General features: G+C 36.8%; 1 long non-coding RNA gene across 3 annotated transcripts in view; it reads left to right on the forward strand.

Annotated features, from left to right (window-relative positions):
• The first annotated feature begins 7712 nt into the window (after positions 1 to 7712).
• Positions 7713 to 24965, forward strand: part of LOC105377227 (uncharacterized) — a 34908-nt gene continuing 17655 nt past the window's right edge. The window contains exons 1-3 of one of the 3 annotated variants that reach the window (XR_001756053.2): positions 7713 to 11014; positions 11447 to 11558; positions 16631 to 16805. This is a non-coding gene — a long non-coding RNA (uncharacterized LOC105377227). Of the gene's footprint in view, positions 11015 to 11446; positions 11559 to 16630; positions 18725 to 24965 lie in introns of those variants that run through there. The other 2 variants (XR_938641.3, XR_001756054.2) reach the window with 2 other exon arrangements.

A 24965-nucleotide genomic window follows, 5' to 3' on the forward strand; every position in this document is an offset into this window, starting at 1 on the left:
ATAAAGAAAATGTGGCGCACACACACATACTTACATTATTATCATATATGTTATTATATAACAACATATTAGCTACAGTCACCATGCTGTAAAATAGATCCTCAGAACCTATTCATCTTACAACTGAAAGTTTGTGCCCTTTGATCAATATCCCCTCATTTTCTCCACACCATATATATAGAATATTATTCAGCCATAAAAAAGAATAAAATCCTGTCCTTTGTGACAACATGGATGAACCTGGAGGGCATAATGCTAGCGAAATAAGCCAGCCACAGAAAGCAAATACTGCATGATGTCAGTTATAAGTAGAATCTTACCAACTCAAACTCATAAAAATAGACAGTACAAGGGTAGTTACTGGGGGTTGGGAGGTGGGGGAAATGGGGAGATGTTGATCAAATTGCACAAACTTTCAGTTATAGGATGATTAAGTTCTAAGGATTTATTATACAACATGTTGATTACGGTTGGTAATAATGTACTGTATACTAGAAATTTGCTAAGAGATAAGTATTTTCACCACACACACAAAAGGCATCTATGTGAATTAATGGGTATATTAATTAGCTTGATTATAGCAATCAATTCACAATGTATTGTGAATATCAAAACATCAAGTTGCACACCTTAAATATACACAAATTTTATTTGTCAATTACACCTCAATTAAGGTGGAGAAAAATAAAAATAAAGGGCTAAATCTTTTGGAAAAAGTATCTGAATCCTCTGGTTGCCTACAATTTTTTCAAAGTTGTCGTCTTTTGGTTTTAAAAGAACCCCTGATTTGCTAAGCTTGATAAACATGATTCCAGATGTCAAATTAGTTTTTATTTGCTCAGGAATTGGTACTTTTCTTTGGAGAAATAAATGTGAAAGAGACTTCTATAATTAGATATCACTTAAATTAATGTTATTTTAATCTATCTTGGACAAATCTTTCTTTATTGAAAAAGGAAAATTTGTTATAGTACAACAAAGTGGCTCCCAAATACTCTTAGTGATGAAAGCTTTACTGGGGCAAAATGAGAGAAATAACACTGATACTTAAAAGGACACACATTTTTAGGTTAACTAGCTTTAGCTTGAATCCTGGGTCCATCACTTTTCAGTGGTATAGTATCACCTAATGCCTAGTAATAGCATAATCAATGTTGATAATTATATGTACATAATTACATATATTTTATATATATATATATATAAAATCACCATTGTGATTTTTGTTGGTTATGGTTATTCTAGGAAAAATTTTGTGTACAAATGTTAAGAGTGCAGGCTCTGTACTCTGTCTGGCTTTGAGTACCAATTCTGCCACATGTAAGCTTTGTGATCTTGAGGAAGACACTCAATGTCCTTGAGCCTCTGTTTCCTTTTCCATAAAATGTTGATAGTAATCATCAGACTTCATACAGTAATAAGATTTAAATGAAATAATGAAAATGAAAATTTTAACTTAGTTCCCAGTACATTATAAATATTCAATATTAACTATTATTTCCTGGGGAAAACATTATATTTATCCTAGTCTTCGGTTCTTCTTACATTTGTGGTGGTCATTCTTTTTGTCAAATCTGGAAATGTTATATGATGAAATTAAAATCTAAATCTGAACCCAGGAAAAACTATATATATATATATACACACACACATATATATAAACATATATATATACACTCACATATATATACATATACACACATGTACACATATATATACATATACACACATGTACACATATATATACATATACACACATGTACACATATATACATATACACACATGTACACATATATACATATACACACATGTACACATATATACATATACACACATGTACACATATATACATATACACACATGTACACATATATACATATACACATATGTACACATATATACATATACACACATGTACACATATATACATATACACACATGTACACATATATACATATACACGCATGTACACATATATACATATACACGCATGTACACATATATACATATACACGCATGTACACATATATACATATACACATATGTACACATATATACATATACACATATGTACACACATATACATATATACACACATATGTATACATATGTACATATGTATACATATATACATATATACACATGTATACATATATACATATACACACATGTATACACATACACATATACACACATATACACATATATACACATATACACATATGCATATATACACATATACACATATACACATATATACATATATACACATATACACATATACACATATACACATATACACACACATATACACATATACACACACATATACACATATATACACATATACACATATACACATATATACATATATACATATATACATATATACACATATATACATATATACATATATGCATATATACATATATACATATATACACATATACATATATACACATATGTACACATATACATATATACATATATACATATATACATATACATGCATATATATACACATATATACATATATATGCATATATATACATATATACATATATATGCATATATACACATATATACATATATATGCATATATACATATATAGACATATATACATATATAGAGACATATATATATACATATATATATGACATAACCTGAATTAAATGACAGCGTGAAATAGAAAAGTTGAGGTATAGAAAGGCCAAAAGTTCAGGAGGCAATTGTCATTGAAGAGATAGTGTATTACTCACAGTTCTCAAAGGGAGGGGACAAGCTATGGAAGTGAGGGGCACAGGACAGCACTGGAGTTGGTCAGGAGACAGAGGGAGAAAGACTGTGAGAAGAGCCTTTTTGTGATTTGTGTGGGAAATGACAGATGACGCATGGTAAGCAGGCTGAGGACTGGCCCGTTTGAATACTTTCAGCAGGCTCTGGGGCATAGGGACTGTCTCTGTTGGTCTGGTGGCTGGCCATGGGGGTGCTTAGGGCAGGTGAATAGTGGTCTGGAGTATAAGAGCCTGATGAAAGAGATGGTTGGGATTGTGGGCTCTGGATTGGTTGGTTTGTATTTAAAAAGCACAAACCTGAGAAGCAAACTGTTACTAAGGAGAGTCAACAAGGAAGATGGGGAGCCAGGGCAAGATGACATGAGCATATTATTTGGTTGCTCAGAACAAGGTATGCCTGGCATACGCATATAGGGCAGATGTTTAGCTTCAAATTTGTGAAATATGGAAATGCGGCTAATACACTCCCCCTACCCCAAACTCGTAATGCTATTTCTTATTTGGTTGTTGGGTTGGTTTGATCACTGAAACCCAAGTATGAAATCAACCGCAAATGGTATCCTGCCATTTACTGGGTTGTTCTTAAAAATCAAACACATTTTAAGGTACATATTTATTTATTTGTTAAATGATTGTTGAATGCCTACTTATTTCGCCTGTATTTTTATTTGTTTTCTCACTAAGTTTGAATGACAAGAAAAATTCAATTCTGAGAGAGTATTAGTCTTTACTTCTCTTTTGTCCTTCTTGTTGCCAAACACCTTTAACAACAATTATAATGAAAGGCTTAAAGAATAGAATAAACCTTATGAGAAAAAGTATAACATAAAATAAGAAAAATAAATACCTCTCTTGTAACTGAAATATTTAATGGAAAAATTTCTATTTAAGAAAAAAATGCAGGGAATGTTCAGACATATAAGATTTAAATATAAGGTTTAAATAACTTCTAAACCTTACAAATAATCACAAAACCATTAATAAAAATCAGTCTAATCATAATATATTATTAAAGGGAACTTGAGGTAGTACCACACATTTGTAGTTGAGAACCAAAACACATATAGCTTACCGTCCACATTAATATGTCTATATTTTTAGGCTGGTTTCACTAACATTACTTTACTATTTTAACTTTTTCCTAGGAAGAGAAGAGTTGTAAATAACTTTATTGTTACTTTCAAGAACTTTCCCCAAACTCACTGGAAACGGCTCAGTTTTTCAATGGATAACATCAAATAATAGTACCCTCTTTCAATCTCTGAGATGAAAATCCTCATCTTACAGTGTCTCCTAACTCATAGCTATTACATAATCATTACCTAATCCTAATCAAGCCCTCACATTGAAGAAATCATCTTAAACCAAACCCTAAAACCTCATAAATATTATGACACTGTCCCTCCCACTTCAGACACTCCTAACAAACACTGTAGCCCCAATATCTTTATTCCTAGGTCTGGTTATCTGAGACCCTTTTCAGGCATTTTTTCCAATGCCTCCCAATGGGGGGAATGAGAGATAAGAACTGCAGGACTATTGTCACATAACAACTCCATCCAAATCCCTGCACTAAGAGACTTGACGAAATTCTGCTATGGCATCTAACAGCCTAAGGCTGTGTCCCTAAATTTATCCCAGCCCCCTATTTATATGCCTGCCTGAGAAAACTTAAGGCTACAAAGGAAATTTATTATTTGTTCTAGTCAGCACCTGATGATAGACCCTGGAGCTCCCTTTCTTAGAGCATTTTCTAAAAAGGGCTTACAATTGTGAACATGTATTTCTTGCAACTCAGAATGATCTTTCTCAAGGACACAAGAGCCATTCCATTGAAATGTAATCAACAAGAAGGATAAGGCCTCTCTCCTAGTCTCTGTGAGAGTATAGCATCCTAACTTCCATAACTTCCAGCAAGCAGACACAGCTGGCCTAATCATGTTTACATTAACCAACCCTTCGTACATTTTTGCTTTTTTGACTCTACTGAGTGCCCACAGTCCCTCCTCCTTCACGCTCCCTTGAAAATGTACAGGCATGTTTCCACAAATGGGAATGGAGCTCAGTTCTTTCCCCTACAGTCAGTAATTACTGAATAAAACCTGTTTTTATCCAATGTTTGTCTATTTTTAATTTTGACAGGGGGAAACTTTGAAGAGACTTCTCTCCATTCTGACTTAGTCCCAGTATGTTTACACTCTTAACCCTTCTCCTTCTGCTTGCCTCTGGCCCTGGGTTCATAAAACTGCAGGGGCTTTCTGTTTCGGGCTCCCTCAGCAGGGAGAGGACCCCTTTATCTTTGCTGAGCCTCAACCAGTGCAACTGTCCATAAGAGAAATCCAAGTTTCTCCAGTTTCCTCTCTTGTCTGTACATTGCAGTAAGTGATCAAGCATAAACTGTTTCATTATTGACTTGCTTTAATTGTCTACTCCACTGCCTGATAGCTTAGCTCATTCCTGGCTCACCTGAGCTTCTGAAGATCTTAATTGTAATTTTTCATTCTTTGAAAAACTAGTAATATGGCCTTATTTGTTGCCATATAACAAACATTCGTATATATCTCCTTTTATGTATGTATGAAATTCTGTACTGTATGTCACTGAGAGTAGAAATAGTTGTAAATTATATACAATTTTAATCCCCCTTGATAGTTCTCAATTTCATATCAAGAGTGTTGTTCTAATCACACTTCCAACAACAGTGAGTGAAAGTTTATAATTCTCCATATTGTCATTAACTCTAAGTATGATCCATTTTTTAATATTTTTGTCAGTTTCATGGTTGTGAAATTGTAAATAATTTTGTATTAATCTGCATTTACCTAATTATTGGTAATTTTGAGCATGCTCATGTTTCTGGTCCATTTTGATTTCCTCTTCTATGAAGTGCTTGGTCATATATTTGACAATTTTTGTTTGAGGTTTCTTTTTATTGATATCTTGAAGTTCGTTAATATGTTTGCTAATATTATTTTCTGGTATACATTTCAAATATCTTATTCCAGATTGTGGTTCATATCTGCTTATCCTACATTTTGCCATTCAGAATTTATCAGCACTTTATGACTTGTGTTTTTTTGTGTTTAAGTTAATCTTTTTCTACCCTGAGGTAAAAAAGTATTTTTTCTAAGACTTAAAAAGTCTTTTTATGATTTGCTTTTAAATCTATGGAAATTTATGTCTGTGAATTTTGTGATGAAGAAAGCTTTGGATTTTTTATCATGAGATTATTAGTTATTGTGATGGTTAACACTGAGTGTCAACTTGATTAGATTAAAGGATGCAAAGGATTGTTCCTGGGTATGTCTGTGAGGGTGTTGCCAAAGGAGACTAACATTTGAGTCAGTGTACTGGGAGAGGCAGACACACCCTCAATCTGGGTGGGCACCATCTAATCAGCTGCCAGTGCAGCTAGGATAAAAGGAGGCAGAGGAATGTAGAAGGACCAGACTGATTCAGTCTTCCTACCTTCATCTTCCTCCCATGTTGGATGCTTCCTGCGCTCAAATGTAGGACTCCAAGTTCTTCAGCTTTTTGATTGTTGGGCTTACACCAGTGGTTTTCCAGGGGCTCTCGGAACTTTAGCCATGGACTGAAGGCTGCACTGTCAGATTCCCTACTTTTGAAATTTTGGGACCCGGATTGGCTTCCTTGCTCCTTAGCTTGCAGATGGCTTATCGTGGGACTTCATCTTGTGATAGACTCACACTATATTAAATAATGAATACTTTTCTACTGATACGTAATAACATCTCTTTCATATAATTTACCTGCTTTTCCTCTGTGTTCCTCACAAGTGAAACTGAAAACATTCTCCACTAATTATCAGAGTGCCTGGCACATAGTAGACAATACATGTTCAAGGAATGTATCAGTAAGGACTTTTGAGAAGGCTAATGCCCTATCTGGATGGAATTTGGGGTAGCAACTATTAGAAAAAGATATTTTTTTCTTTCCTTGTGTCACATGGTTCCTCTGATTATTTTTCTCACTGATTGATCGTTGATTAGTTATTAAGTCAACACCTAGAATAAGACTGATTCTTAACTACTACCAAATATTAACCTTCTGTTTCAATGGACCTATTCCACTTAATTTGTATCCAATATAATATATTTATTTCAACCTGCTGGTCTTTGCTTTACCTCATTTAGCAGACATTTCTTCTTTTTGTCTAGTGATACAAATATAGTTACGTCAAAACCTATTTTATTTTTTATATTTCTAGAAGCCCATCTTGTCTATTCCAGGTGCCGATAATTTTTTACCTCTCCCACCCACCATACCCACTAAAGTGCTTAATATTGAGGAGGTTTTTGTGATATCTTGGCCTTTCTTGGTCTCTATGTCTTATGCTTGCCATGCAGATTATCTATCAATTATATTCAGATTTCCAACTAAGGTAGTTTAAAAAGTTAGAGAATGTTATACTTGAAAAAAAACTTAGATTTTATGATGTCCAGTTTATAGATAAGAAAACTAGGCCTGAAAGAAGTGAAGGGATTTTCCCAAGGCCATAGAGCTAGCGAGTGGCTAGCAAGTGGTAGGGTTTGTATTTGGACAATAATGTATTGAATTTCATATCATGTCTCTTCCCTGTTTCACCATTCTTAGGTTTATTTGTCATGTTGATATTGAGCTGGAGATTGTAACACAGTGGTGTCAAGCTGAGATGTAAACTAAATTTTATATTCTCAACCTGGTAGGGGATGGAGAAGTCATTATTTTGAGCTAGATATTTGCTGCAACTCTGTTACGGGAATGAGAAAGGAAGACGTGCAAGGTTACCATCATCCAAAAAGCTTCACATCTCAAAGACATATGAAGAAAGAATGCTAGAGAGTAGAAAAATACAGATGTTCATAGGTTCGTGGATTTGATGGTGAGAGAATAAAGGTGTTTCTTATTGCTATAGTAACCTTGTGCATAGAGTTCTGAGAAGGCCAAGAATCTGAGGACTCAAGTAAGCCAAAGCGTCCAACCAACTGCCTGAGTCTGGCCCAGATCATAGGTAAATCCTATTTTTGGAAGCTTCTTTAGATGGTTTTGGTAAGCATTCTACTCATGCTATGACTGGCTGGGCATAGCAAGAGTGTAAAGAAAATGGAGAGCTGACATTGCTTCCTCATCTCACTGTTTTTATCTTTAGGTGTATTACAGCTTCCCTGTGGTCTTTCTTTGCAAAGAATAGCTGTTTAGATTTTCTGGCCCAAATCCATGCTTTACATTGACCAACTGTCCTGTCATTACCTAGTCATGTTATCCTTCCAATTTCATGAATGATTTATTAAAGATAGATTGTGAGGATGTTTTTGTATAGTATAGTATAACGTGTACTTGAAAACATGGATATATTTAGTGGAAAAATAGACCTATTACATAGTCTAACTCTGATTAATATATATTCTGTAACTTACAATAAACGCAAATATATTGTTTGTCCATAATATGATATTATTAAAGCTATCATCAAATCTATCTTGATACTACATTACCATTAAAGTGAACATACAAGGTTAATTATATCTTATATTCCATGGGAGTATGAAGCACATTGGGAGGTAATTTGTATATTACAGAATTTATTAACAACAATAGATTTAACAGCTACTAGGTCAACGTAAGACATTTATTTGGGTGGAAATACGTTACTTAAATTCGGAAGATTTATAAATCAGTGAACTTTGCTTGGGTGTCTGCTCCCTGACCTTAAAATAGCTCCATTAAGGTTGTTATAATGAACTCATTATTTATATTTTCTTCTAGTCCACATTCAGAAAAGTTTTTAGTAGGTGTAATAATCTGTTTAACACACTCAGATTTTGTAGTGAATACAGACGATCCCAAAGAGAAAGATGCTAGTTCTGAGTGAGGAGCTAAATTGCACAATAAGCTACAACACTGCAAAAGGGATCCCCAACCCTCTTTAAAAGGCCATTTCACATCATTAGTGCATAATTAAGTGAATCAAGGAGGTTTAGTAATAAATGTATTTACTTTCAATTATCTTCAGGAAAACCTGTCCAAATGATCGTTTCCAAGCCCAGAGACTTCAGACAGAGCCTGTGAATTGTGCCTGCTGTTGTGAATCACAGGAATGCCTCAGTGAACTCATCTAGCCCTCTGTATTATATGTTAAACATGTAAGAGGGATATAGAAAAGGATACTATACATAGCCTAATATCCTGACAGTGTGTATTCCTGGGGCTCTTCCTCTTATTCAGAAAACACTCCAGGAATCAGTGATGGATGAAAAAAGGAGGACACTAAGAAACAGGTCAAAGGTGACAACTGAATAAAAGTTGCTGCAGGCTTTAACCTTAAAGTACTGAAGAAAAAAAATTCTGCTGAGATTTGGTAGCAATACATATAACAGAAGGCTGAAGTCCAAAAATCTCTAAGGTATTTGGAGATATAGAAAGGCCAGATTAGAGGTCTTATCTTTTCCTTCCTTCAGAGTCAATTCTTTGTTAACTCTACAGTGTCTAGTACTAACATTTGTGGTAAAAATCTTTGACCGACTAATTGAAACATGTTATAGGAGATTGCAGCAAAGCACAAACCTAAATGCACATTGTCTTTTCCAAAAAGCTATTCTAAAAATCTAACTGTGGCTCTAGTTTGAATACATTCAAAGCCTACATCTGAGCTCCTTCTCTGGAATTAACCCAGATGTTTTAGTCTCAGCCTCATCTAGAGCTTTTTTAAAGCAGATAATAGGAAGAGAGATAAAAGAGAAATCTGTTTAAACGGAGAAAGATACTCAGAATAAAATATGTATTTGGTCTGTGTCTGTTTCTGTTTCTGTTTGCTTTTACTGTCTTTCTCAGCATTCTTTCTGTAGAGCCCTCAACCCAGAAATCCAGTATTCTTGTGCTGACCTCTAAGTTTGCAGAGGCCACATTTCACTCTTTGCAGACCTACCTTCCCACAGTAGTCCATTTAAGTTTCACTTGTATTTTCTTCTTAGCTATCCAAACTTGCCTTTGTGAAAATATGGCAGGACTAAAAGTTTTTCATGGAGTTCCAAGTGTCTTCCCCATCCCTCTTGTCAAATCCAATTGACCAACTCATGGCTTCTAAAACTAAAAGCCTAGTCTCATTGTTCCTCCTGCCTGTGCTATTATTACCATAGCCTCAGTTTTCCCATACTTTCCATGAATTTGGTCAATGACCAATTCTCAAATTTAAACTCAACTCTAACCTTTTTTGATCAAGTTTATGAATTTTTAATGATCTTGCTCCACCCAGAACAGTCATCTTGAGCTGTCGTCAATTCAAAAGGTTTCAATGACGGCTTGAGCTAATGGCTTTTCTTTGGTTTTTCTTTTTTACCACTTGTCTTGATCCTCTTTTCCTCAGGACATGGTTCTTTGTTGAATATTGTGATTTGATAAATCAATCTAGGTTGTAGGTTTATGATTGTCAATGAATAAATGTACTCTCTCATTGAAGTAACACAAATATGTGTCAATAGGTACCTGTGAGTAACTTAGAAATTTACTCCAAAAGAGAATATGATAATCTTAATTTATCAGACTAAATAGGAGAGGTAATTGAAGGCAAAGAATGGTCCATATTCAAAAATCATTAATGCCACCACTGTACCAGGTTTCTGAGTACCTATGCATTTATTCTAACAACCTAGCATCTATTTCAGTCTGCAAAGGAGATTCCATCTAAGAAAGTATAGCATTAAAAATCTAGAGCAGAGAAAAGGAAGTCATGTCTTCACTGGGGCACCCTTGCCTCTCATTCTCAACTCTGAAGTATCTGCAATATTTTTTTTTCCTCAAGGGAGTATCATCACATATATAAGATTTAAAATACCTCACCACAGGTTTCTAATTTCATTTAAGACAAACATGGCATCAGGACTCATAATCAAGTCTGTTTACGAAGCATGTGCATTTAGTGTTCAATTTATCATGTCTTAAAATGGGCTACTATAAAATATTCCTTCTATATGGGCATATTTTAAAAAATTGACTCATTAACAATTGGAAAGTTGTCTTTGTGTAATTTTATTATCTATATCATTAAGGTCCTCTTTTTGTATTTAATTTGTTTGTTTTTTTGTCTGTTTTCTTAGAGACAGGGTCTTGCTCCATCACCCAGGCTGGAGTTCAGTGGCATATTCACAGCTCACTGCAGCTTTCACCTTCCAGGTTCAAGTTGTCTTCCCACCTCAGACTCCCAAGTAGCTGGGACCACAGGTATGCACCACCATGCCATGCTATTTTTTTTTAAATTTTTATAGAGATGAGGTCTTACTATGTTTCCCAGGCTGGTTTCAAAGTCTTGGGTTCAAGCGATTCTCCTTCCTTGGCCTCCCAAATTGCTGAGATTACAGGTGTAAGCCACTGCACTCAGCCTTCTATTCCCTTTTATTTCAGCTGTTAAAATTATGTTTGACAGAGCAGGAGCATTGCCATCTTGTACAAGCACCACCATTTTAAAGTTCCCCTTGATCAAAAACTGCCTAAATCCAAAGGGCATCAGCCTAATAGCTGAGGTCAGCATGACCATAAACCACAAATTACATCTCCAACCAGAAACATTCCAACCCTAAGATAACCTCCCCCCAACCAGAGAGGACACCCTCCTGTTTGGGTGAGGCTCATAATGAGGCCCCCTCACCATTACAGGAGGAAATCTCTTCACTGCTGGCACTGACAATGGAAGACTGAGGGTGCCCGGGATCCTTCACCCCCACATCCAGTGAGTCCACGGAACCCAGGGTAACTGGGATGGTATCTGGTAAGATTATTTCCTTCTTTTTGGATACTGGGGCGAGTCTATCAGTATTAACTGAAAATCAAGGCCCATTAGGACATTCATCTGTTTCTGTTGTTGGCATGAAGGACATACAAGTAACCCCATACAAAACACCACCACTATACTGCTCATTTGAGGTAGTCACCTTCACTCACTCTTGGTCATTCCCCATTGTCCCACTCCTTTACTAGGAAGGAACATCCTACACAAACTAGGGGGAATCATTTATTTATTAGCCCTACATCAAAGCCACCCTTACTTATTATTATGTCAAGAACAAAACCCCTCCTCAGACACTCCACATCAAATAGACTTAAATCCCAAATTCCTCAACCAGGTAAATCCCATAGTATGGAACACTGCATTAGCATTGCATAGTATGGAACATTGCAATAACAATGATAGCTATTGCCAGTGGAATGTGTAAACTTCTATACCCACTACATTAACCAGTTTGAAAATATTCCTTGACGTCATTCCTTAAAACATCTTTAATAACTAGTTCTTTGATTAAGACCTCTTATTTTCAAATTAATGTTTTATTGAATTACACTTTTTCTCACTAAACAAATTTTAGTATGTGATGGGTTTTTAATGGCCAGAAAACACATTCATTGTTCACTTTTATCCTGTGATCAAACTATATGCCAGTGATAAAATACTGATTTATAATTTAAACTTCTCTTGAGGGAGGCAAATGTCAGTTCCTACCTTGGTTTATCATAACACTATCTCTGTTGCCTTATATACAATTCAGAAATTAAAATATGCTTGTATTTTGGGTAGAGAAGGACAGGATAAATCAAATACTATGTAACAATTGACCTTGTATAGACTCTATTTCAAAAGATACTTTACCAGCTTGAGCAACATAGTGAGACACAGTCTTTACAATTTTTTTAATTATTAGCTGGGCATAGTGTGACACATGTTTGTACTGCCAACTACTCAGGAGACTGAACAGAAGGATCATTTGATTGCCATTATTACAACACTGCACTCCAGCATAGGTGAAAGAGAGACACCCTATCTCAAAAAATATATAAAACAACAATAAAAAATACTTTAATACCTAGGATGAATTTTTTTTTGTGGTGGAAAATCTAATGACATTGTTCATCAAATTAACTATAAGATAAATGACATAATTAATAATTTTTGCCAGATATATTTTAAGAAACATTTTTCATATAATATCAAAATGAGAAAAAAATTGCTGTCATTTTCTAAAATCACTCTGAGAATAGTAAAATTAACTAGATCCATGTTGAAATGAGAACACTATAGATAAATAATATTTGTAAAGTACTCCAAGAATTTTAATCTCTTTAATATATTTGTCTCTCAAGTTTATTGAAAAAAGTTTGAAAATTCAAAGTTCAAACAGCAATGCCTTTTATTGTGGTAACATTTTGGCTAAAATACATCTTTGTAATATATACATATTGCACTTTTCAGTGATTTCTGGGTTATATTTTTTTTGATAAAGGTCATATAAAATGTCAGGAAATGTTTGATTTTTAGTGAAAAATTATCTTGAAAACTATTATTTGCTGTTTCATTTCAAAGAAACAAGAATGAAGAGGAAAGAGATATTTCATAACAAAAGTGTTGGGGTTTTTTAACTCAAAAATATTATTCATTTTATGAAATATTTCACAAGTTAGAATGCACTGTGAATTGGGAATGTTATATAATATGTTTGTTAATTATTAATCTTGATTTCTAATTGCCAAATTTTTCAAATTGATGATGTCTTGCAACTAGGCACACCAAGACACATTTGGGAGAGTAACTTTATGAAACACTTTCTAAATTAGTGATGATAATTTAAAAATTAGGTTATTACTAGGTATATAAATTCACAGGGAATTATGATTTTTATGCTACATATATTTTAAAACACTCTTATTACTGTAGGCCTGGCTACATTAGGGTAATTACACAAAGCTTCAAGAAGGGGGAAATTTCCTTAAAATCTTAAACCATTGTATAATATATGTATAATTATAATACCAATAATCCCAGTTCTTAATGCATTATACACCCATAGTTAATGGACTATGCAAAGAAATATTACTGACCACAAAGCTCACAAATTCTTCCACCTCTCTCCATGTCTACTACCAACACAAACTAAGCCTTTTTCTTACTAGGGTTATAGCAATAGACTTGTGCCTGGTTTTCCTATGTTCAGCCTAGTTGAAGCTCATTAATTTGTTGCTTTAATTATTTGATTAATACCAGTCACTGCCTTTAACCTACAAGTTCCCTGAGAGTAGGAATCAAACTGTTTTTGCTCAACATTGTATCTTAATGTCTGGCACATGGTAAACACTCAATAAATATTTGCTTGATAAATGAAACAAAGTGTAAAATAAATAAAATAGAAGAACACAGCAGAAAACATTCATAATGTGTTTTTTTGGAGAATGACAAACAGGACAAAAGTTAATATCATCACAAAATAGTCTAGATACCATAATTTTCAGAGCCCTGGGCTTGATACGAATTAATAACTCAATCATGTTATAACTAATTATACTTGAGCTTATTATCCTCAATTGCCTTTTTTGGTGTCAAAATCAAGTCATATTGATATTTTATTTCAATATGCTTTTCTAAATTTTGAAAATAAATTAACAATGATATTTCATTTTTTATAAGAATAAAAGTTTTTATCTTATAAATTAGGTTTTCTTAACAATTTACTGTATATTTACCATTTGTGAATTTTCTGTTGAAATTTATTGGTACTTTCATCCTGTTTCACTCTTTGGGGAAAATCAGTTAGTCTATTCATGACAAATTATTGCCAGCAATTTCATCCTTCTCATTTGTCTTAAAATTAGTTACTTCAGAATAGGAGTCTCTGCCACCCAGGATCAAGTGATTTTCTCACCTCAGCCTTCAAAGTAGCTAGGACTAGGGGCATGCGCCACCACACCTGGCTAATTTTTTGTATTTATTCATAGAGATGGGGTTTCACTATGTTGCCCAGGCGGTTCTCAAACTCCTGGGCTCATGCGATCTGCCAGCCTTGGCCTCTCAAAATGCTAGGATTACTGGCATGAGCCACCGCACCCAGCCAATACTTCATCCTTTTTTATTGCTCTTCTGGAAGGCTTTTCAGCTCTAATATGCTTATCTTATTGAGGAAACAAGAGTAAAAATGAAAAAGAATTATATACTATATTTTAGAAAGAGAGACACCACGGATTTTAGAAAGGGAAGCTTCTTTCTCTGTGTTTTGCTGTTGATGCTCCACCTTCCTTGCAGAAAACTAAACAGGACAAAAGTTAATATCATCACAAAATAGTCTAAATACAATAATTTCCAGAGCCCCGGGCTTAATACAAATTAATAACTCAGAGTCACTCATCTTATAACTATTATACTTGAGCTTATTTTCCCAAATTGCCTTTTTTTGGTGTGAAAATCAAGTCATGTAGATTAATTTCATGATCTATTTGAACAAAGATACTTATTTCATGACTGAATGATCTGACTTTGATATATTTGTCTTATTTTTTCAAAATATCTGGTTAGATCATGTTTTCTACTTTATATACTGCCTTTCTAGGCCAGACTGACAAATATCCTACATTAGACATGGAGGCAGTCTGAATTTCAATGAAAAAGTAATGAATGTTTTGCAACAAACCTGTACGTTATTGGGTATGTAGAAAGGTTAAGACCACTGAGACGTACACATCCATACCCTGGTTTATTAAATGCAACTAAATTAAATTGTTTCAAAATTTTGCTAATGATTCTAACAATATAATCCTTATGTTAATGTTGAAAACAATTGCATTTTTTATTTTTTGGTTGATCAATTTTGTGGCATAGTTTTGAATCCCAGACACCTTGCAGAGCAATACTTTGCTTTTCACTGTCCAAAGAGATACAAGTATAAAGTATACTTTCATCTTAATCAGAGGCAGTCATAGATTTTTTTTTTTAATATACAGTGTCAGATCAGGAAAAGAAGCTATCACTGATAGAATTTTTTTTAAACATCATAATTTTTAAAAAGTTATTTTCTATGACACATCATACTGTAACATTGAGATTCATAATACTCTGCCCTGATATGTTATTAAACGTGAGGATAAAAATAATTACTAAATCCTTTTTCATTACACATGTAGAATTTTTACTTCAGCCTAATTTCCACAGTAATTAGTTCATGTCTTTATTAAAGAGATTCTCTGGAAAAGTTCAAATTTAGCTATGTCATAAGTAGCCAACTGGAGGACTTATCTTTCCGAAGAGAAGCAAGCCAATAAAATTATTCAAGATTATCAGCAGGCACAATTTCTAGATGTAAATTCCATCTCCAACCAAATCCTTCTGAGCACAATCTCAATGGCAACAATAAAGCAGGTCTCACTCCAGAGAATGTTACCCCTGTTGTATTTCAACGTTTAGACAGGGTCTTCTGTTTGTTTCTTTGATTTTATGGAAAGAGCTTTTCAACTTTTTAAACTTGTTTGTTTCTTTCAAATAGAAAAACACTAGGTTTTCAAAGGAAATTATACCAACCTAATTACTTTTAACAAATTCAAATTCTGATTGCGCATATAGATATATAATGTGCTTTGAAAAATTTTCTGTTCTGTTTTAGAAAGTACTAATATCAGAAATATATTTTAGTGTGCTATTTCTGAGACATTCGTTTTTTAAGAAATCAGTAAAAACATTGGATTATAATAGAAATGGCAAAATTTCCCCCATTCAGTTACATATACATGTAAAAATTTAAATCACCATGAAGCATTTATATCATCATTTTAAATAGATTTCCCTATATTATCAATACTTACATGCATCAGTTCATATTTAAAATGGCACAAATATTCTGAATGGATAAAATTTCTTATAAAAGGCATTCATTCCCACAAGCTGCTGAGCAATTATATATAATAGTTTTATGTATAATTGTTTCTCTTACAGTTATCATGTAAATTGATCATCCTAATCACAATGCAAGTTTACATATGTTTTTGTTATTGTTATTATTTTATTGTATTTTATTTTGTTTTTCCAAGATGATAGCAAATTGGAGTCAGTGTTAGCAAGACTCTCCCACTTGGAAAGACAAAATAGTGTATAGTCATTCACACTGTGAACTCTATTTCCAAGAAGAAATGCAGAAACTTAACAGGAAAACGGAAATCCACCAATTCTCTGAAAGAAGCTGCATGCTGCAGCCTACATTGTAAGGTAGGCAAAAAACTGTTTTAACTTCCCAGAATGTGAGAGGGAAAGAGAGTGCTTCGGGATATACCCTCCCACCAGGAAACCTGGAAATCCAGCCCTCAGGAAAAGCCTGAACGCTACACAGAGCTGGTACTGATTTAGGGAGCAGTGAGGAATGGGAAGAGCCTTGTGTGGGACCTTGTGGAAGTCACCCAATTAACTCAGGCAACATTTGCAAGTTGAAAGAAGCTCCTACCTGAATTTTGTGAAATAGCTATTTCCCAGGGAGGCTTCTGGTCTGCGGCAGTCTTAGTTCTGAATATAGACGTCCTGGAATTTAGCTCACTGCTGTTAGCAGAAATCTACAGGTGTGAGAACTACCTTGCCAAGTGCATGGGATCTGGGTGGGGCTTACTGATGCCTGCTGTGCCCCACTTCTTGCACAAACTATTCTGTGCAGTAGAGGCAGCTTTTCTCCACTCTGGTACATTACATCAGTGGTGAGGTAACTGTCCCTCAACTCCCACAGTGGCTGCAGATTGCCCCACATATGGAGAGTCAGAGCATGGATCTCTCTGACCCAGCCCACACCTGATTTTGCCCCTCTACCCACACTGATAGCCTAACACAAAAGACAGGAACTTTTGGGAGCTTTATGTCCCCACCCATCACCTGAGAAACCAGAGTGCCTCCTTTGGGTAACATAAGGCAAACACAAATCTCAACACTACTACTGCAGCTGATGCTCCTTTGCAAACACGACCTCCTAGCTGGAGGCCAACCAACACAGTCCATTACAGCACTTTCAGGTAGATAACACTGCACCCCGGAAGGAGAAAATTTGTACATGATATCAGCTATCACCATTGCCTGCACCAACATGACTAACCAGGAAGTCCTGATACTATCTACGTGACCAGTTTATTTTTGCTGCAACTGGCATTTGAGAAAGCCAACACACTAACACTATCCATAGCCAAAGAATCTCAACGAGTCTACATTACTCCCCTGCCGCCTGCATCAGAACTGGTGCTGGTACTTGATACTGGGAGACTTGAGGACAGGTCACATCTCTGAATCCCTTGCAGACATTTCCCAGCACCAGCCTAGAGTGTGGCAGACCCATTAGGCAGCTAGGCCCAGAAGAGCAACAACATTCACATTCTGGCTCTCAGGGACTCCTACTACTAGGGCAAGGGGTAGTACGTCACGTAAAGGGAACACTACGGCACAAAAGTATCTGGATAGCAGGCCTTCAGTCCCAGATTTTTCCACTTGTGGAATGTTTTTTTCAGCAGAGGCACAGTTGCAGTAATGGGCTCAGCAGGGAAAGTCTGCAGTTCTACTCCAACAGTCAGGAAGCCCTGGTGCTCATGAAGCATCTTGGAGAAGAGGAAATATTTCCCCCCTTTTCCACCACTGAAGACATAGCTGGGGCTTTTCTCTCAGGAGAGTGGCATGGGTGCACATATAGACAGCTTTTCTGAAACACTTCAGGGTGATCCACATAGGAGGGGCACCCTCCAGGTGCAAGCTTGCAGGAGATGTACAGTCACCATTCGTCTCTACTTGGAGCATCAACATTCCTGCATAATAAAAGAGATGCCTGTCTGATCTGAATACCCAGAACACTGGGTCAAGAGTATGTGTGGGAGGTGGATTGCTTTCCTGCTGTCCTGGCAGGGGAGTTGAGATGGCTCCAGTCCTTTCCTCTGACAAGAACTCAGTGTGACTCACTGAGAGCTCCCCCAGCCATCTCTGTCAAGGCTAGGACCCCTGCCCACCATTGGGTATTGCATTCACCAACCTGCTTTAGTCATAGACAGTTTTTAGCTAAGGACGCCTCCCATACAGGCCAGAAACCTGAGTGATTCAACCCAGTAAATAAAATACTGGGAAAAATAAATAAATAAATAAATAAATAAATAAATAAATAAATAAAGCGACAGCATTCACTGTAGTCTGGCTCAGTAAATAAATTACTTGGGAATATTCAACCCAGTAAATAAAATATTCAACCTAGTAAATAAAATAGTGGGGAAAAATAAATAAATAAAAGTGCAAACCATAGGGAATGAGTTTCAAGAGATCTCTGCCATTCCAACTCTATAGGAGACTGAACTTCTCACACATCAAGCATGTTTCCACTACAACCAGCATCTGAGAAAGCAATCATATAAAGACTCTCTGTAACCATGGAACTCATATAAAACCATCATCCTGAAAGCATTAAGAGCTTAATTATACTACAATAAACTATAAACATTAAAGTCATATGCTTAAGGGGAAAAAGGGCAATTTTGAAATAAACACAGTGAAATAAGAAATAAAATTAAGAAAAAATAGAAGAAATATTCTACCCAAATCAGAAGGAACCAGAAAAGTAATTCTGGTAATATGACAAAAGAGGATTCTATAACACCCTCCAAAAATCACACTAGCCCTCTGGCAATGGATTCAAATCAAGATGAAATATTTGAAATACCAGATAAAGAATCCCCAAAGGTTGATTATTAAGCTACTCAACAAGACACCATAGAAAGGTAAAAACCAACATAAAGAAAGTAAAACAAGCAAACAAAAAATAATTCAGGCGTGAATAACAAGATTTCTAAAGAGAATGATATCTTAAGGAATATCAATCAGAAGTTCTGGAAATGTAAGACATATTCAGGGAATTAAAAAATACAGTGGAAAGAAGTTTCAACAATAGACTAGAACAAGTAGAAGAATGACTTTCAGAGCTTGAAGACAAGGCTTACAAATTAATGCAATCAGAGAAAAACAAAAGAAATAAGAATCAAAGGAAATAAACAAAGTCTCCATAATTACAGAATCATCTAAAATGACCAAACCAAAGAATAATTGGTGTTCCTAAGGGAGAAGGGAAAGCTAAAAGTGTGAAAAACATTTTTGAGGTAATAATTGAGAAACTCTTCCATGGCCTTGCTGGAGACTGATATTCAAACAGAAGAAGCTCAAAGAACTCCTGGGAGATTTATTGCAAAAAGTCATCACCAAGGCATATATTCATTAAGCTATCTAAAATCAATATGAAAGAAAGAACTCCAAGAGCAGTAAAACAAAAGCATCAGGTAACCTATAAAGGAAAACCCATCATACTAACAGGAGACTTCTCAACAGAAACTTTATAAGCCAGAAGGAAATAGGGTCCTATCTTTAGCTTCCTTAAACAGAATAACTGTCAGCCAATAATCTTGTATCCAGCAAAACAAAGTTTCTTAAATGAAGGAGAAATAAAATCATTTCCAGTCAAACAAATGCTGAGGAAATTTGTTACTATCAGGCCAGTTGTACAAGAAATGTTAAAAGAAGTCCAAAACCTTGAAACAAAACTTGATATGTACCAAAATAAAACCTCTTGAAAGCATAAAACTGAAAAAGCCTATAAAACAATAACAAAACAACAAAAAGCCAAGTATCTAGGTGATTAGTCTGATTTCATACTGCTATAAAGAACTGCCCAAGACTGGGCAATTTATAAGGGAGAGAAATTTAATTGACTCACAGTTCAGCACAGCTGGGGAAGCCATGGTAAATTTACAATCATGGCGAAGTTGAAGAGGGAGCAAGGCACCATCTTCACAAGGTGGTAGGAAGAAGTGCTGAGTGAAGGGGGAAGGGCCCCTTATAAAACCATCAGATCTCATGGGAACTCACTATCATGAGAACAGCATGAGGGAAACTGCCCCAATGAGCAGTTACTTCCACCTGGTCTCTACCTTGACATTTGGGGATTATGGGGATTATAATTCAAATGAGATTTGGGTGGGGACACAAAGCCTAACCATATAATTCTGCCCCTGGCCCCTCCCAAATCTCATGCCCTTTCATGTTTCAAAACCAATCATGCCTTCCCAAAGTCTTCATTAATTCCAGTATTAACACAAAAGTCCAAGACCAAAGTCTCATCTAAGATAAGGCAAGTCTCTTCTGTCTATGAGCCTGTAAAATCAAAAGAAAGTTAGTGACTTCCTAGTCACTAGGAAGTCTAAGTGGTACAGGCATTGGATAAATGCAGTCATTCCAAATGGGAGAAATTGGCCAAAACAAAGGGGCTACAGGCCCCATGGACCAAAATCCAGCAGGGGAGTCAAATATTAAAGCTCTGAAATGATCTTCTTTGACTCCATGTCTCATATCCAGGTTACACTGATGCAAGAAGTGGGCTCCTACCATCTTGGGCAGCCCTGACCCTGTGGCTTTGCAGAGTACAGCCCCCATCCCTGCTTCTCTTATGGGCTGGCATTGAGTGTCTGTGGCTTTTCCAGGCACATGGTGCAAGCTGTTGGTAGATCTACCATTCTGGGGTCTAGAGGATGGTGGCCCTCTTCTCACAGCTCCACTAAGCAGTGCCCTAGAGGGGACTCTGTGTGTGGGCTCTGGCCCCACATTTCCCTTCTACAATGCACTAGCAGAGTTTCTGCATGAGGACTCCACCTCTGCACCAGACTTCTTCCTGGACATCCAGGCATTTCCATACACACTCTGAAATCTAGGCAGTGGTTCCCTAACCTCATTTCTTGACCTCTGCACACCCACAGGTCCAACACCATGTGAAAGCTCTCAAGGCTTGGGGCTTTCACCCTCTGAAGCAACAACCTGAGCTGTACTTTGGCTCCTTTTAGCCACAGCTGAAGTGGCTGGGACACAGGGCACCAATTCCCAAAGCTGCGCACAACATGGGGACCCTGGACCTGACCCAGAATGCCATTTTTTCCTTCTAGATCTCTGGGCCTGTGATGGGAGGGGCTGCAATGAAGGTGTCTCACATGTCCTGGAGACATTTTCCCATCGTCTTGGTGATTAACACTTGGCTCCTTTTTACGTATGCATATTTATGTGCCAGGCCTGAATTTCTTCCCAGAAAATGTGTTTTGTTTTTGACTGCATTGTCAGGCTGCAAATTTTTCAATCTTTTATGCTCTGCTTCCCTTTTAAACATAAGTTCCTATTTCAGATTATTTCTATCAAGTTCAAAGCTCCACAGATAGCAAGGCCTGGAGCAAAATGCCACCAGTCTCTTTGCTAAAGCACAGCAAGAGTTACCTCTTCTTCACCCAAAACCACCTCAGTCTGGACTTCGTTACTCATATCACTATCAGCATTCTGGTCAAAACCATTCAACAAGACTCTAGGAAGTTCCAAACCTTCCACATCTTCCTGTCTTTTTTTAAGCCCTCCAAGCTGTTCCATTCTCTGTCTGTTACTCAGTTCCAAAGTTGCTTCCACATTTTTGTGTATTTCTATAGCAGCACCCTACTCCCTGTAGTATCAATTTATTGTATTTGTCCATGTTAATACTGCTATAAACAACTGCCTGCGACTGGGTAATTTATAAAGAAAATAGATTTAATTGACCACTGTTCATCTTGGCTGGAGAGGATTCAGAAAACTTACAATCAAGACAAAAAGAAAAGAGGAAGCAAGACACCTTTTTTTACGAGGCAAAAGAAAGGAGAAGTGTAGAGAAAAAAGAGAAGAGCCCCTTAGAAAACCATCAGATCTCCATGAGCACTCACTAGGTATTACAAGAACAGAATGGGGGAAGCTGCCCCATGATTCAATTACCTCCACCTTGCATCTCCCCTGACATTTGGGGATTATGTGGATTATAACTCAAGATGAGATATGTGTGGGAACACAAAACCTAACCATATCACTAGGTAATAATTAATATAATGTATATGACAATTGCTCCACTTAAATAATATAGATTGGCAGAATGGATAAAAGAAACAAAATCAAATATCTGCTGTCTTCAAGATACCTAAAATGTAAGAATTCATATAAACTCAAGATAAAGGGGTGGAAGATATTCCATGGAAATAAAAATAAAAACCAAAAACAGGCAGTAGTAGCTATTCTTGTATCAGATAAAACAGACTTTAAAGCAACAGCAATAATAAAAGACAAAGGGGGTCATTATATAATGATAAAAGGATCATTCCAACAAGAAGACATTATAATTCTAATTATATATATACCTAACATTGAAGAACCCAGATTCATAAAACAATTACTAGGGAAGAGCAAGATGGCTGACTAGATGCACACAAGTGGAACAGCTCCCATGGAGGGACTGAGACTGCTGGCATGCTTTTAAAAGATATTTAGAGGGAAGGTGCTGAGAGTGGGCAGAGAAAAGACACAGAAGCTAGGCTGAAGGGGAAGAAAACTGGGAACCCCTCATTGGTTACTGTGCACAGAGACTCATTTTTTAACCACAACAACTCCAGCAGAATGGAGGAGTTTACCTGGCAAGGAGCAACCCACTCTCAAAACAGAACTTTGGGACCCCAAAAGAAGGGGACCCATTGACCACAGCAGACACTTAAGGTGGCAGGGAAGGCTGCTCATGTAAGTGGTGGGGCAGCAAGCTAGATGATGTGAAGCCTATAGGGTTTGGTGTGGTAGCATCTCTAGTGGAGCATGATCAGAGATGGCCATTGCTCTAGGCTTGTCTTGCTCCCATAAGAGATGTTAGTCCTAGGGGAACTGTCAGACCTTGTCTTTGCAGGGCAGTCTTGCACTAAGATGGGGCTGGCCCAATCTGAGCACTCCTTGGTCTGCTGGCCTCTCCCAGGGCCACGGCCTGGCCATGCCTGCTTAACAGGGAAGTCTTGGGTGACCTGGGGGCACACACCATAGCTTCTACAACAGTGGATTGTGCCTGATCAATAGAGAGCTCCAGCGAGGTGGCTTCTACATCCATGAACGAGCCCACATGTTCCCTCCTGATACTGCAGCTTCCCCAAAGCCCACAGCATCTCCCCACAGGTGTGTGTCTATATGGGAAGGTTTTGCTTTACTTGTCTTTCCAGCACGCAGAAGTGTAGTCCACCACCAGCACCCCCGCAACTAATCACCATCGCAGATACAGCCTTGGTGGGCACAGAGCCAGCAAACCCAGCCCCTGAATGTACCACACCCTTGTGCTAAAACTGCACAGAGAACAGTGGACCTTTTTACAACCTGAGTAATCACAACTGCTTGCAGGTCACAGAAAGGACACCCAGACCAGTGCCAGCCAGCACTCCAACCCAAACCAACACCACCTTCAGTGCAATGGTGCACACAGTCTCCAACAGGAGCCCCCTGCATCCCCCAGAGTTTTCTTGCATCTGCCACTGTGGTGAATGCCTGCAGGGAGGCAGGCACACCTGCATTTACTAGCACTCTACTGCAGGTGCTTCCACTCTCCGCACCTTCTGGTGCAGTGGACTCCATAACTCAAGGAGACAGAGAACAATGTCTGGAACTGATACAAGTCCCCCACTTCGAGCACGAAGTCCAGGAGTTGAGAGCTGATCCTTGGTCCCCCTAAAACCTCCAGGAAATGAACCCAGCTAGCTGAATCCACCTTATGACACAATCAAACCCTCAAGGTCATCAAATAGCATAAAAGAGAAAAAATTCATAGGTTAGCAATCTCAAAGATAGAAGGTAAATAAACCCACAAACATGAGAAAGAAAAGTGTAAGAAAGTTGGAAACTCAAAAAGTTAGAGTGCCCTCTTTCTTGCAAATGACTGCATCATCTCTCTAGCAAGGGTTCAGAACTGGGCTGAGGCTGAGATGGCTGGAATGATACCCAATACAAGGAGCTAAAAACCATAATAAAACAATGCAAGATCTGACAGACAAAATAGCCAGTCTAGAGAAGAAAATAACTGACCTGATAGAGCCAAAAAACACACTACAAGAATTTCTTAATGCAATCACAAGAATTAATAGCAGAATAGACCAAGCAGAGGAAAGAATCTCTGAGTTCAAAGACTGGATTTCTGAAATAAGATCGGCAAACAAGAATAGGGAAAAAATAAATAAAAAGAAAGAACAAGACCTCCAAGGAATATAGAATTATGTAAAAAGAAAATAATCTGTAACTGATTGGTGTCCCAGAAAAAGATGGGGAAAATGGAACCAACTTGGAAAACATAGTCAGGATATCATCCATGAGGACTTTCCAAAACTCGCTAGAAAGGCCAACATTCAAATTCAGGAAATGCAGAGAACCCAAGTAAGATACTTCACAAAAAGATCATCCTCAAGACACATAATCATTAGATTCCCCAAGGGTGAAATTAAAGAAAAAATGTTAAAGACAGCTAGAAATAATAGTTAGGTCACCTACACAGGAAGCTCATCAGACTAACAGCAG

The sequence above is a fragment of the Homo sapiens genome, chromosome Y (genome assembly GCF_000001405.40).
Source record: "Homo sapiens chromosome Y, GRCh38.p14 Primary Assembly".
In the NCBI taxonomy this organism is placed as follows: Eukaryota; Metazoa; Chordata; class Mammalia; order Primates; family Hominidae; genus Homo; species Homo sapiens.